At 41.8% G+C, this 16,885-nt stretch overlaps 2 pseudogenes; one reads left to right on the forward strand and one right to left on the reverse strand.

Moving 5' to 3' along the window:
• Window positions 2,265–3,095, reverse strand: HNRNPA1P3 (heterogeneous nuclear ribonucleoprotein A1 pseudogene 3; annotated as a pseudogene).
• SPINT5P (serine peptidase inhibitor, Kunitz type 5, pseudogene) lies at window positions 6,811–6,965 on the forward strand (annotated as a pseudogene).

Here is a 16,885-nt window from a genome sequence, read left to right on the forward strand (position 1 = left end):
CAAACAAACAGGAAGTTAATGATCCTCACTGTTTTCCATCTCATAACATTTTCACTCAATGTCTTAAGGCCCACACTCTCGAATGGAACATATCATCTCTCCCTGGGGACATGCAGCTCAAAATATTCACTCCCACACTCACACATGATCATACAGGCACTTCAGGAACCCAACATTTAAATAATACTGTCATTAGGAAGCCCTCCTTCTCAACACACACGGGCAGAACACAAGGCATCTGGCACTTGGGAACATATTTATCCCGCCATTGTAGCCTAGGGTCTTTGCCACTCAACCCTGCCACCACCCAGCCTTATCTTAATTGGAACAATGAAGCTGGTGATATGGAGGAGCAAAAACATTAGCTTTGTTGGAAACATGGAACCAGCACCTTCAGATTCCTTTTACTCAAAGCTCTGGTCCTAACCTTTCTCCACACTGTGGGGAATGTAGTCTTGCCAACACCAGACAGTTAGCCTCTACCCATTGACTATAAAATCAGATTTCAACTCTTTTATACAACTTCTTTATGAAAACCTTGAAAAAAAGAATCGTATCTTATTTGGCTCCCTTTAACAATATATTATACAACAGAGAAACTAAATATCTGTATATTGATTATGCTAACATGCAGGACAGGATCAAAACTAACACAATAGAATTCAAATATGCAAAATCATTCAGAGTTATTGGAAAGGTAAAAATGCAAGTTTAACATTTTTTCAAAGATAATGTCCTGGCTATATCTATATTGAGGTTCCCTACATTTGGTGCTACATAGAATTTATGTTATTAATCTTATGGAGCTATAGTGTCAGGATATATAACAGAATTGATACTTTATTTATACTAGCTGGACCTTTTAAATACCTTCTCATTTATAATGCCCAAATGGAAAATAATAATTTATTTCCTTAGCAAGGCAAATCTTCACACTAATAAGAGAATTGAATTAAGATTTGCCCAATATGAACCAAAATCCTTGAACATTAAAACCCTGGATTCCCTCACTCTTTTTTTTTTTTTTTTTTTTTTTTGAGACAGAGTCTCACTCTGTCGCCCAGGCTGGAGTGCAGTGGCACCACCTCGGCTCACTGCAAGCTCCACCTCCCGGGTTCACGTCATTCTCCTACCTCAGCCTCCCGAGTAGCTGGGACTACAGGTGCCCGCCATCACGCCTGGCTAATTTTTTGTGTTTTTAGTAGAGACGGGGTTTCACCTTGTTAGCCAGGATGGTCTCAATCTCCTGACCTTGTGATCCGCCCACCTTGGCCTCCCAAAGTACTGGGATTACAGGCGTAAGCCACCGTGCCTGGCCTCCCTCACTCTTACCCAAATACTCACAGCTCCCAATCCTCCCATTCATGAGTTGTTTCTGTCTACACTCATGAGAAATAATGGACACTGTGACTGAGAGTCCATTACATGAAAGGGCAGTTCTACAAAGAAAAATTAGGATGCTGGCTGGCCATGGTGGCTCATGCCTGTAATCCCAGCACTATGGGATTACAAAGCGGGTGGATCACCTGAGGTCAGGAGTTCGAAACCAGCCTGGCCAACGTAGTGAAACCTCATCTCTACTAAAAATACAAAAAATTAGCCAGGTGTGGTTGTGGGTGCCTGTAATCCTAGCTACTTGGGAGGCTGAGGCAGGAGAATTGCTTGAACACAGGCAGCAGAGGTTGTAGTAAGCCGAGATAGCGCCATTGCACTCCAGCCTTGGCAATAGAGTGAGATTCCATCTCTAAAAACATATATATACACACATATATATATACATATACATACATATATGTGTGTACATATACATACATATATGTGTGTACATATACATACATATATGTGTGTATATATACATACATATATATGTGTATATATATACATATATACACATATACATATGTATATGTGTATATATATACATGTATATATGTGTGTGTATATGATTGATATTTAAATTAGTAGACTGAGTAAAAGAGATTACCCTTCATGATGCAGGTGGGCCTCATCCAATCAGTTGAAAGCCTTAAGAGGAAATAGGCTGAGGTCCCACAGAGGAAGGAGGTATTCTGACTCCAGACTGCCTTTGAACTCAAAACTGCAACATCAACACATTCCTGAACCTCCAGCCTGCCAGCATGCCCTGCAAATTTCAGATTTGTCCATCCCTACAATCACACAAGCCAATTCCCTAACATTGGTTTTGTTTCATTGATTCTGTTCCTCTGGAGTACCCTAATACATAGACTTTAAAACAAAAATTATAACTAGAAGTACATTTTACAAAAAGAAAAGACAGATTTACTCAGCATCATTATCAGACTATGACATTTAGCAATCAACAGCATGGGTGCAAAAAAAAAATCTACTTTAAAACCCTTTGTTGGAATGCTTTATACTTTCCACAGAACTGAAACTAAAATAACATGTTATTCAATTAGTCACAAATATAGTCCTTGAGTTTTTTGCCTATACACATGAATATTTGTCTAAAGCATGTCTTCTTTGTAGCAGCTAGGCCCTGCCACCACTGTGCTTGGCTGCATTCACAAATCTGTTGTAACCTGTAGCTTCCCTGTCACTTCTCTGGCTCTCCTCTCCTGCTAAGCTTTGTTTCCCGGCAGTAATTAAAATCTTCTGCCACTGCCATAGCTACTACTGCTACTGGAACCTCCATGGCCACCTTGGTTTTGTGGTTTGGCAAAGTATTGTCCTCCACCACCATAGGGGTCAGAGCTTCTGCCTCCAAAGTTGCCTCCCTTCATGATTCCAAAATTTGAAGACTGATTTTTGTAATTGTCAAAATCATTGTAGCTTCCACTACCTCCAAAATTACTTCCATCATTACCAAATGCATTATAGCCATTCCCACTGCCACCATATCCACCACCACCATGGCTGCCACCAAAGCCACCACAACCACTGAAGTTTCCTCCACGACCAAAATTGTCATTCCCACTGAAGCCACCTCCAGGACCACCACCAAAATTTCCAGAACCACTTCGAACTCTTTGGCTAGATGAAGTACTACCCATCTCTTGCTTCGACTGGGCTTTCGTAACTTCTAAGCTGTGGCTATTCACAGTATTGTAATTTTTTTTTTTTTTAAGATGGAGTCTCACTCTGTCACCTAGGCTGGAGTGCAGTGGCATGATCTCTGCTCACTGCAGCCTCTGTCTCCCAGGTTCCAGCGATTCTACTGCCTCAGGCTCCCAAGTAGCCAGGATTACAGGCACACACCACCATGCCCAGCTAATTTTTGTATTTTTAGTAGAGACGGGGTTTCACCATGTTGGCTAGGTTGGTCTTGAACTCCTGGCCTCAAGTGATCTGCCTGCCTCCCCCTCCCAAAGTGCTGGGATTACAGGTGTGAGCCACTGCACCCAGTCAAGCATGTTTCTAAGAAAAGGGCAAACAATTCTCAAAGAGGCCCCTAATATCTAAAACCAGTTTAGAATCCCTGCCCTAGGTGAATACAGGAAACATTGTCAAAACTAAAAGGAAACTTGTAGGGCATCTTAATCAATCAGCCAAGATGGGTGCCAAAGCCCAAAGCCAGGTAGAGGCTTGTGCAAGATCACAAGCAGAGGCGCAGTTTGAAGCTAGATTCTCCCACTCTTAAACTAGTGCTGGACAGACTGAGGCCTAGCAAGTTGGCTACAGAGCCCTAGCAGATTCCTGTCTCCACACTGAGCCAGGAGGGGTTGCTGCCCAGGGATACCGACAGCCATACTTAAGCTGGACAAGGCACATGCTCTTGGTGGAAGCAAACACGTCCGCTACCTCATACAGAAATAAAAATGATTATAAAGGAATCCTGGGAATATCTGTATGCTAAAAAATTAGATAACTTAGATGAAATGAACGAATTCTTAAAAAGATAACAACTACCAAAACTGACTTAAAATAAATGGGAAATCTGAATAGATCTGTAAAGAGTAGACACCAAATCACTAATCAAAAAATATTCCACAAAGGAAATCCCAAGCTCAGATGATTTCAATGGAGAACTCTACCAAACTTTTACAGAATTAACTCTAATCATTTACAAACTCTTCCAAAATATAGAAGAGGATGGAATACTTTCCAACTCATTCTATGAGGCCAGTACTACAGACAAAGATATCATAAAAAAGAAAACTACAGACCAATAGTCCCTATGAATATAGGCACAAAAATTCTCAAAAAATATTAGTAAAAAGATTCAGCCACATATAAAAAAAGATTATATGCCATAATGAAATCCAATGGAATTTGTCCCAAGAATGCCAGGTTATTCAAGCATGCAAAAATCAATGTAATATACCACTTTAACAGAGCAAAGGGCATAACCAACATAATCAACTCAATAGACACAGAAAAAAAAATTGACAAAAATCTGTCAACCTTTTATGATAAAAACACTCCTCAAATTAAGAATAGAACTTCCTCAACCTAAAAAAGCACATTTATGAAAAATCCCGAGATAACATCATACTTAATGGGAGAAATTAAAAAGTTTTCCTTTAAGATCAGGAGCAAGACTATTTCCTGGTAAATTTTTCCTCTCCTCCGTGTTTGAGTTCTATCCATTTCACATTTCTATTACCGAACGTGTTTATTTCTTCTATGTTTTTTCCAGCCATTATTGGCAGTTTTGTCTATTTTAATGGTATTTTTAAAATACAAACTTTTAGTTTTATTTGGCAATTTTAGTGTTTCTTTTTTTCTAATTCACTAATTTCAACTACTTTCTTCAATTATCCTCTACTTTCTCTTTACTTACTTTGCTGTTTTGTTCCAGTTTCTTAGGTTCAAGCCTTAGTTAATTTGCTTTCAAGTATTCACATGTATATATTAAAGCATTGGTAAGAATTTATTTACAACTGTTCATTATAGAGATGTTGATGTCCCGAGCAATAGTGGTCATGATCCCTAGATGTGGAGGAAAGAAGGGGGGAAGGCTGAGGTTAATCAGTAGGGTTCTGGTAAAGCATGGTCTTTCAAGCTACATGGCTGGGTACCCAAGAACTTAACTGTTCTGCTCACAAGGCTGATTCTGGATGCACCAGAACTCTGCCCAGGCTTAAGCCCTGGAAAGATAAAAATCAGAGATATGAATTCAACTCCTCACATGAGAAGGACAGCTAACCCTTCAGATATTTCAGTCAAGTCCGGGATTCTTCTATCTGCTGTCTGCAACATCATGAAGCCTGAATGGGCTCACTTTTCTCTATGGCTCCTCATCTTGTCCATGCTTCTCCACACACCTTCAGGGAACATATTTCCTCCACAACTCAGAAAACAGTTACGTGAAAGTGGACATCTTGGAGGTAAAGAAAAACAGAAAGGGCAGACCAATGTGACACTGTGAAGGAGAGGGAGGTCTGGGCAGCCTGGGTGATGTTGCTGCCAGTAATTAGAATCAAGTCTCCTTTTTATCTCAAACCGTATGGCTCTAGGACATCTGATTCAGAGAATTACATTGAGTTTCCTCTATGGAGTGGAGAAGGAGGAAGACAGAAAGCAGAATCAACTTAAGTTTTAACCATGAGATTTCAGTATAAGAGTGGGGGTTATGAAAATGGGATTGATTTCAGAGGTGTCCAAGAAATTCCTTTGTTGGGGTGTGTGTCTGTACATTAGATGAGTTTTGAGTCTATTCAACACATATGTGTAGAACCACTATGTTATATTCCACTGATACAGATATGCAGAGGCCATCATTCCCCCATATATGTATAGAGCACTCCTATCCTACTTATTTAAATTAATTTGTTCTTCATTCAAATTAACATGAGCATCTGTGAAACACTCAAGGCAAAAGGGGCAAGTTCCCAATCATGGATAAGAATTGCAGTTGGGCGGCCAGGCGCAGTAGCTCACCCTTGTAATCCCAGCACTTTGGGAGGCCAAGGCAGGCGGATCACCTGAGGTCAGGAGTTTGAGAACAGCCTGTCCAATGTGGCGAAACCCCATCTGTACTAAAAATACAAAAATTAGCCGGGTGTGGTGGCGCATGCCTGTAGTCCCAGCTACTTGGGAGGCTGAGGCACAAGAATCACTTGAACCCAGGCAGCAGAGGTTGCAGTGAGAGCCGTGATAGCGCCACTACACTCCCTCCTGGGCAACAGAGCGAGGCTCCATCTCAATTAAAAAAAAAATTTAAAAAAGAATTGTAGTTGGGCTTCAAGAAGACTAACATTAACTCTTTCTCTGTCTCCAACTCAGTCATCATGGCTTCTGCTCTAACCACTTAATCTCCATGGTCTCAGTAAAACCAGGTGAGTCTGGATGGGTAGGCAAAAGTGGGGCTGGATAGGAGAGGAAATAGACTGATGGAGGAAAGGAAGATCTGCCAGAGTGGACATTTTAAACCTGTCCTTCAGAGTAGGTGTAGTGGGTGAGAGGTCTTTTTAGCTTGTGTATTTGCACAGACTCTGGCGGGCAGAGAGGAGAGAGTGAAAGTAAGGGCTCTGAACTATGTCCTTGAGGAAGCTGATGAGTTGTTCACTTCCAGTGACATGGGAAGCATGTGGAGTCAAGAAATGGGATATCTTTACTGCGAAAGATGAAGGAAACCTCAGGTCTTTCTTGTTCTCAGCTCTAAAATAGTATAAGAACCTCATTGTGCTTCTCTATTTCTGTGTCATGGACCCAGTCTGTAGTCTGGAACAATTTCCCCATATGCTTAGGGAACTCTGTCTTGTTCCCCAGGGGTAAAATTAGTTAGATTTATGTGGGTTGGAAGTTTTAGTAGTCTGAGCCTGTGAGAACAAGAATGCCAAAAGAGTAGTAAAGAAAACCTGACTCTGGAATTCTCATTCACAGAATACTGCAACTATCCTCTGAAGAAGGGCACCTGTAATTCATATTTGACCAGATTCTACTACAACACTTTGACATTTTTATGTGAGCCCTTTGTCTTCAGTGGCTGTGGAGGCAACAGAAACAACTTTAAACAGAAATATTTCTGTGAAAAAATGTGTATTACTGAAAAGTAAGTCTCTGGATATCTTACCCAACCCTCAATGACACCAAACACTAGGGATCAAAGCTTTTTAAGGAAAAAGGAAATGAAAGGCAAGGGCAATGAGCAGGGAGGCAAGAAATTATACCTAAGTTAGGGATAGCCTGTCATAGGTATTAATTTCTCAGGTCACTTAAATGTCACTATAATCAGTCATAGGCATAAGTTTTTCAGGTAACTTAGTTTAATAACATTCTTGAAATTGTGAAAATTGAAGTTCAGCCAAGCACAGTGGTGTGCACCTGTAGTCCCAGCTACTTGGGAAGCTGAGGCAAGAAGATTACTTGAGCCCAGCATTCAAGACCAGCCTGGGCAATACAGCAAGACTTCCATTTAGATAGATAGATAGATAGATAGATAGATAGATAGATAGATAGACAGACAGACAGACAGACAGACAGACAGACAGACAGATAGATATAGATAGCCAGGCGCGGTGGCTTATGCCTGTAATCCCAGCACTTTGGGAGGCTGAGGCGGGCGGATCATGAGGTCAGTAGATCAAGACCATCCTGGCTAACATGGTGAAACCCCTTCCCTACTAAAAATACAAAAAGTTAGCTGGGCACGGTGGCACACACCTGTAATTCCAGCTACTCAGGAGGCTGAGGCAGGAGAATCGCTTGAACCCAGGAGGCAGAGGTTGCAGTGAGCCAAGATCATGCCACTGCACTCCATCCTGGGCAACAAGAACGAGACTCTGTCTCAAAAAAATAAAAATAAAAATAAAAATAAAGCTCAGAGAGGCTACTGATTTGCCCAAATTCACTCAGAAGAAGGACATGGATCCAGAGCTCCTAGCTCCCCACCAGCATCTCAGTACTACCAGGATGGCATCAGCTTTTTGAGATTGTGTTCAACATCTTATTGTTTCACAGTTAAATGGAAAGCTATGAGAATGTCAGAAGAGTAGGAGAAGACAAGGATCATGGTTTAGTATCCACTATAAAGAATAGCTAAACAATGGTCTTACACGCAAGAGCAGAGATATCACTTTATTCATCTGTATATTCTCAAAGTCTAGTACTATGTTTGCCCATTAATATTTTATGGATAGATGCATGGGTCAGGAGGAATATTAGTATTAAAGAGAGCTGTGAAGTTCTGCTGAGATGTTAAGGACCCATTGTTTGGGTCCTTATTGATACCAATGGCCATAATAATCTCTAAATTTATTTATTCATTAACAGGGACCAAAGTCAATAGGGCCTTAATATGACAGAAGGAGGAAACAAGGAAAAAGGAGTATGCTCTATGAAAAATCATGCCAAAGTTATTCTGAGAAAATAAATTGGATTATTTCTAAAAGATTTTTGAATTCTGAATTCTTTCTAATTTCCTTGCCCAGGTTTACCTTTCATACTAATTAGATATATAAAACTTTAACTGAAAATTTTCTGTATGTCAGCTCTGGTCTGAATTTATTCATCTCTCCCATTCTAGATTCTTCCAACATATACTGCAAATGACCTCTCTGCAGGGACCAACCTATCCATGTAATGCATCAGTGTATGTAAAGGCAATCATTATTGATATCTCCTCGGCATGACATGCCAAAACTGAGTTTCTTTCTGTATTTTGTCACTGACTTCAGTGGGATTTGCATGTAGGTGGCACCAAGATAATCATTATTAAATTCTTTCACCTGCTCCAAATCAAAGGGCATTCAACCCACAAAAGTGATCATATTCTAGGGAAATATCTTCAGTGCCCTAGCTACAAGCCATATGGAAATTGTGACTTTACAGCTGAGAGCTATGAGTCTTGAACCAAAGTGAACCTCTACTCTCAGAGCATGAAGGGCCACTCCCTTCTTCTCTGTCTTATTCATATTCTTGTCAAGGACTAAGCCTCACAAATGAATCTATTGATATAAATAGCTTATGCCAGTGTTCTAAGGGCCATAAACAGTAGAATAAACTGAAGCTCAGAGTGAAGCCACTTGTGGGTATTCTAGCTCGATCTCAACACTGGCAACCCCTAATCCTGAATTATGGGCATATCCTAGGAGAAATCATGGGAATTAGCAAAAAGTATGTGTTAAAGATGTCACCTAGTTCTGCTTCCAGGAATTACTCCTGTGCAAAAAAGGGACAAAGGAAACAAGAATGTTCTGGTAGCTTCTAGGTATTGAGGCAAAGTCTAGAATCTCAGACCATGCTGTGTCTTGGGCCTGAATGTCATGGTGCCTATTCATGGATTCTGAAGATTTTCCTTCCTCTGATTACTGTAAAAAACAGTGTTACATAAACAAGATTCAAGTGCAATTTTTTAAGTCTTTCAAAACTATAGTCTAGTCCAAAGAATTAATATAAGTAAAATATTCTCTGGAGACAAAGAATTACCGACAATGATGACCCAAAGTTCATTCTAGCCTCAAGTTTTCAGATTTCTTCTGGGCACTTGAGTAATTGCCCAAGTTTCTTTCTCAATCAATCCTATATTTGCATCTAAGAAAAAGGTATGTGTGTACTGTCTGTAGTGCTGAAGGAATATTTTATAATTACCCACAAAGATTAGTAAAAAGGCCCAAAGATATATGTGCATTGCAGACCTTCATAGAAAACCACATACCCAAGGACTAATACAGGACACAAATCCACAAGAAACCCAAGTGGATTTCACATTAAATTCAAGTGAGATATTTTGAGGAGAAAGTCACAGATAGAAGAGTAACAAAGATAAAAATATAAACCAAAACCTCAGAGTACAAACCAAAGACAGAATGAAAAGATTTTGGTTCTGACTCTAGCCTCTTCCCCTGAGTCATATCTTACCACTGGAGAAACTGAAAGGAAAAGATCCCATTACATATGAGATGGAAATTAAAAGTGGTTTAAGAAGATTCTGATTTCTCATTTAAAAAGCCCCAAAGAGTAGGCGTAGTGACTCACGCCTATAATCCCAGAACTTTAGGGGGTCAAGGCAGGAGGATCACTTGAGGCCAGGAGTTTGAGACCAGCCTGGGCAACACAGCAAAACTTGTCTATTAAAAAAATACAAAAGATGGCCAGGCCCGATGGCTCACACCTGTAATCCCAGCACTTTGGGAGGCCAAGGTGGGTGGATCACCTGAAGTCAGGAATTCGAGACCAGCCTGGCCAACGTGGTGAAACCCCATCTCTACTAAAAATACAAAATTAGCCAGGTGTGGTGGCGCATGCCTGTAGTCCCAGCTACTTGGGAGGCTGAGGCAGGAGAATCACTTGAACCCAAGAGGGAGAAGTTGCAGTGAGCCAAGATCATGCCATTGCACTCCAGCCTGGGCAACAAGAGCGAAACTCCACCTCAAAAAATAATAATAATAATAATAATACAAAAGGCCAGGTCCAGTGGCTCATGCCTGTAATCCCAGCACTTTGGGAGGCCAAAACAGGCGGATTGCTTGAGTTCACAAGTTCAAGACCAGCCTGGACAACACGGCAAAACTCCATCTCTACTTAAAATACAAAATTGGCAAGGCATGGTGGTACATGCCTGTAGTCCCAGCTGCTTGGGAGGCTAAGGTAGGATGCCGGCCTCAGCCAGGAGACAGAGGTTGCATGAGCCGAGATGGCACCACTGCACTCCAGCCTGGGCGATAGAGCCAGATCTTGTCTCAAAAAAAAAAAAAAAAAGGTGGTGGGGAGAAGAAAAAAAATTGTAATACAAAAGATAAACAAAACAAAAAGTTGTTTTTTTGGAAAGATAACAAAACTGGCAAACCTTTAGCTAGACTAACCAAGAAAAAAATGAAGACCAAATAAATAAAATCAGGGATGAAAAAGGACACATTACAACTGATACCGCAGAAATACAAAGAATCACTAGAGACTTTTTTTTTCCCCTGAGATGGAGTTTTGCTCTTGTTGCCCAGGCTGGAGTGCAATGGCACGATCTCAGCTCACTGCAACCTCCACCTCCCGGGTTCAAGCGATTCTCCTGCCTTAGCCTCCTGAGTAGCTGGGATTACAGGCATGTGCCACCACACCCAGCTAATTTTATATTTTTAGTAGAGACAGGGTTTCTCCATGTTGGTCAGGCTGGTCTTGAACTCCCGACCTCAGGTGATCCACTCGCCTCAGGCTTCCAAAGTGCTAGGATTACAGGCGTGAGCCACCGCATCCGGCCTGGATCATTAGAGGCTATTATGGAAAACTACACACCAACAAATTGGAAAACTAAAAAGATAAATTATTTGACACATACAACTTACCAAAATTGAATCATAAAGAAACAGAAAACTTAAACAGGCCAACTATGAGTAATGAGATGAAAGCAGAAATTAAACGTATCTCTTTAAAGAAAAGCATAGGACCTGATGGTTTTACTGCTGAATTCTACCAAATATTTGAAGAAGAATTAATACAAATTCTACTCAAATTATTCTAAAAAATTGAAGAGGGAATACTTCCAAACTCATTCTACAAGGCAAGAAGTACCCTGTGGCCAGGCATGGTGGCTCACGCCTGTAATCCCAGCACTTTGGGAGACTAAGAGACCAAGGCAGGTGGATGACTTGAGGCGAGGAGTTCAAGACCAGCCTGGCCAACATGGCGAAACCCTGTCTGTACTAAAAATACAAAAATTAGCCAGGGAGGTGGCGCATGCCTGTAATCCTAGCTACTCAGGAGGCCAAGGCATAAGGATCGCTTGAACCCAGGAGGTGGAGGCTGCAATGAGCCAAGATCGTGCCACTACACTCCAGCCTGGGCAACAGGGCGAGACTCTGTCTCAAAAAAAAGATCATTCACCATGATCAAATGGGATTCATCCCCAGATGCAAGGATAGTTCAACATATACAAATCAATAAGCGTAATACACCCCATCGACAGAATCAAAAGAGCCATATGATCATTTCAGTAGATTGTGAAAGAGCATTTGATAAAATTCAACATCCCTTCATGATAAAATTCTCAAGAAATTGGATATAGAAAGAACATACCTCAATGCAATAAAGGCCATAAGTGACAAGCACATAGCTAATACCATACGGAATGGGGAAAAACGGAAAGCCCTTTCCACTAAGGTCTGAAACAAGATAATGATGCCACTTTCACCACTGTTATTCAACATAGTACTAGAAATCCTAGCCAGAGCAATTAGGCAAGAGAAAGAAATAAAGGGCATCCAAATTGGAAAGGAAGAAGTCAAATTAGCCTTGGAAACACATGACATGATCTTATTTTTAGAAAAACCTACCCCACCAAAAAATTCTTAGAACTAATCAACAAATTTAGTTTAATTGCAGGATACAAAATCTACATACAAAAATCAGTAGTGTTTCTATATGCTAACAATAATCAATCTGAAAAAGAAACCAATAAAGCAATCTCCTTTACAATAGCTACAAAAAAAAAAAACCTAGGACAAAATTAATTAGAAGATCTCCACAAGGAAAACTATAAAATACTAATGAAAGAAACTGAAGAGTACACCAAAAAATGGAAAGATATCCCATGCTCATAGGTCAGAAGAATTAATATTGTTAAAATGCCCATAATATCCAAAGTGACCTTCAGATTCAATACAATCTCTATTAAAATATCAATGGCATTCTTCACATAAACAGGAAAAAAAAATTCTAAAATTTGTATGGAACGACAAAAGACCCCGAATAGCTAAAGCAATCCTGGGCAAAAACAACAAAGCTGGAGGTATCACACTACCTGAATTCAAATTATACAACAAAGCTATAGTAACCAAAACAAAGCTATAGTAACCAAAACAGCATGGTATTGGCACAAAAACAGACACATAGACCAATGGAACAGAATAGAAAACCCAGAAATCAATGCATGCACATATAGACAACTCTTTTTTTTTTTTTTTTTTTTTTTTTGTGAGACGGAGTCTTGCTCGGTCACCCTGGCTGGAGTGCAGTGGCGTGAACTCAGCTCACTGCAAGCTCTGCCTCCCGGGTTCACGCCATTTTCCTGCCTCAGCCTCCTCAGCAGCTGGGACTACAGGCGCACGCCGCTATGCCCGGCTAATTTTTTTGAGACAACTCATTTTTGACAAAGGTGCCAAGAACATATATTGGGGAAAGGACAGTCTTGTTAATAATTGGTGCCGAGAAAGCGGGATATCTATATGCAGAAGAATGAAACTAGATTGCAATCTTTTACCATATGCAAAAATCAAATAAAAATTGATTAAATACTGAAATCTAATGCCTGAAACTACAAAACTAGAAGAAAACATTAGTCAGGACATTGGTCTTGGGAAAGATTTTCTGGGTAAGACCTCAAAAGCAAAAGCAACAGAAGAAAAAACAAACAAATGGGATTACATCATTAAAAAGTTTCTACAGCCAGGCGCGGTGGGTCACGCCTGTAATCTCAGCACTTTGGGAGGCTGAGGCAGGTGGATCACCTGAGGTCAGGAGTTCAAGACCAGCCTGGCCAACATGGTGAAACCCCATCTCTACTTAAAATACAAAAAATTAGCTGGGTGTGGTGGTACACAACTATAATCCCAGCTACTTGGGAGGCTGAGGCAGGACAGTCGCTTGAACCTGGGAGGTGGAGGTTGCAGTGAGCCGAGATCATGACATTGCACTCCAGACTGGGGGAAAAAAGCAAGACTTCATCTCAAAAAAAAAAAAAAAAAAATTTCTGCATGGCAAAGGCCAGTTGCCTTTAATCCCCTATAATCCCCACACTTTGGAGGCCAAGGCAGGCAGATCACCTGAACCTGAGGTGGAGAGTTTGAGACCAATCTGGGCAACATGGTGAAACCCTGTCTCCACTAAAAATATAAAAATCAGCCAGATGTGGTGGTGCACACCTGTAATCCCAGCTACTCGGGAGGCTGAGGCACAAGAATCACTTGAACCCAGGAAGTGGAGGTTTCAGTGAGCCATGATTGCAGCACTGCATTCCAGCATGGGCGACAGCGTGAGACCCTGTCTCAAAAAAGAAAAGACAAGCTACAGGATGGAAGAAAATATTTCCAAACTACCTCATCAACAAGGGACTAGGCTATGCACAGTGGCTCACACCTATAATCCCAGCACTTTGGGAGACAGAGGCAGCAAGATCACTTGAGGCCAAGAATTTGAGACCAGTCCGGGCATCATAGCAAGACTCTGTCTCTACAAAAAAAAGGCAACAACAGGAATTAAAAATATATAAGAAACTCAAACAACTCAATACCAAAAAAAAAAAAAAAAAAAAATCTGGCTGGCACAGTAGTTCTCGCCTGTAGTCCCAGCACAAGGCCAAGGCAGGTGGATCACTTGAGGCCAGGAGTTTGAGACCAGCCTGGCCAACATGGCGAAACCCTGTCTGTACTAAAAATACAAAAATTAGCCAGATGTGGTGGTGCATGTCTGTAATCCCTGCTACTTGGGAGGCTGAGGCAGGAGAATCATTTGAACCCAGGAGGCAGAGGGCAGAGTTTGCAGTGAGACGAGACTGGGCCACTGCACTCCAGTCTGGGCAACAGAGCAAGACTCTGTGTCAAAAACATATATATATATATGCGTATATATACGCATATATATACATATAAGTATGCATATATATATGTGTATATATATGCATATGTATGTATATATATCTGTATATATATGCATATGTATGTATATATATCTGTATATATATGCATATATACATGTATATATATATCTGTATATATATGCATATATACATGCATATATATGTGTATATACATACAGATATATATATACACACACATATATACATATATCTCAAATAAAGAGACATTCTTGGGCAAAGGGGATTTGTCCCAGTGGTCTTGACAGTGCCACAAATCATTTTAACACTTTTGGGTATAGCCAGAACCATCCTAGTGGTCTGAAACACAAAAGTGAGGCCCAGACTACTTAGGGAGATCAGGCTGGGTGCCAGAAATTAAAAGGATAGGAGCCAGAGACAGGTAAGCAGAAAGTTTACAAGAAAAAAAAATGGAAGATGAACAAAGACCCTAGGCCTCTGCCAGGTGGGCTGTGAGAGAAGAGGTTTCAAAAGAGGAAGAACTTAAGATGACATTCTTACAGACAGACCCCTGGCCATTGCAGAAGCATTTCTGGGCTCCTTGGCGCCCCCCAGTCCAGGAGGCACTGCAGGACACAGGAGGCCTTGGAGCTCATGGGCACCAGAGCCCAGGCTTCCATGTAGCTGAGATACGATCTGGCACTGCAGTCCTCAAGGTCTTGCAGGGGCCCTCTGACCCCCGGTTCCAGCCCTGGGACACAATTGCCCTGCTACATGCTTCCTTTCTATAATTAAAGAAGGAAACCCTCAGGGCACCCCACTCCACCACTCACCTCTCGCCAGGGACCAGGTACCAGGGTGGGTGTCCTCTTCCTGAAAAAGAAAGGCTTAGATGAAGCAGTCCCTTGTGAAACAGGCAGCCATTAGCACCAGGGCCCAGCCTAGGTGAGAACTCTCAGGCCCTGCCTGGCAGCCCACAGCCAGGCATGGTTGAGATACCAAGTTACTCTACAGATGTCTTTGTTTTTTGTTTTTTTTGAGTCAGAGTCTCACTCTGTTGCCCAGGCTGGAGTGCAGTAGCGTGATCTCGGCTCACCGCAACCTCTGCCTCCCAGGTTCAAGCAATTCTCCTGCCTCAGCCTCCAGAGTAGCTGGAATTACAGGCGCCCACCACCAAGCCCAGCTAATTTTTGTGGGGGTTTTTTGGGGTTTTTTTGTTTGTTTGTTTTTGAGACAGAGTCTGGCTCTGTCACCCAGGCTGGAGTGCAGTGGCGCAATCTCGGCTCACTGCAAGCTCCGCCTCCCGGCTTCACGCCACTCTCCTGCCTCAGCCTCCTGAGTAGCTAAGACTACAGGCACCCACCACCACACCTGGCTAATTTTTTTTTTGTAATTTTTGTAGAGACAGGGTTTCACCTTGTTAGCCAGGATAGTCTCAATCTCCTGACCTCGTGATCCACCCACCTCAGCCTCCCAAAGTGCTGGGATTACAGGCTTGAGCCACCGCACCCGGCCAATTTTTGTATTTTTAGTAGAGACGGGGTTTCACCATGTTGGCCAGGCTAGTCTCAAACTCCTGACCTCAGGTGATCCACCCGCCTCAGCCTCCCAAAGTGCTGGGATTACAGACATGAGCCACCGTACCCAGCCTGCATTTTTTTTTAAGCATTAGGTTGGTGAAAAAATATTTTGATTTTTTTTAAAACAAGCAAGCATTACTTTTGTGATCTTTTAAAACTGATTGGATGAAAAAATGGAAAATGTAACATAAGAAGTGTCAGACCTCTGAGCCCAAGCTAAGCCATCATATCCCCTGTGACCTGCACATACACATCCAGATGGCCGGTTCCTGCCTTAACTGATGACATTCCACCACAAAAGAAGTGAAAATGGCCTGTTCCTGCCTTAACTGATGACATTGTCTTGTGAAATTCCTTTTCCTGGCTCATCCTGTCTCAAAAAGCTCCCCTACTGAGCACCTTGTGACCCACCCCCCAACTCTGCCCTCCAGAGAACAACTCCCCTTTGACTGTAATTTTCCTTTATCTACCCAAATCCCATAAAACGGCCCCACCCTTATCTCCCTTCACTGACTCTCTTTTCAGACTCAGCCCGCCTGCACCCAGGTGAAATAAACAGCCACGTTGCTCACACAAAGCCTGTTTGGTGGTCTCTTCACACGGACGCGCATGAAATTTGGTGCCGTGACTCGGATTGGGGGACCTCCCTTGGGAGATCAATCCCCTGTCCTCCTGCTCTTTGCTCCGTGAGAAAGATCCACCTATGACCTCAGGTCCTCAGACCGACCAGCCCAAGAAACATCTCACCAATTTTAAATTGGGTAAGCAGCCTCTTTTTACTCTCTCCTCCAACCTCCCTCACTATCCCTCAACCTCTTTCTCCTTTCAATCTTGGTGCCACACTTCAATCTCTCCC

Source organism: Homo sapiens, chromosome 20, assembly GCF_000001405.40.
Source record: "Homo sapiens chromosome 20, GRCh38.p14 Primary Assembly".
In the NCBI taxonomy this organism is placed as follows: Eukaryota; Metazoa; Chordata; class Mammalia; order Primates; family Hominidae; genus Homo; species Homo sapiens.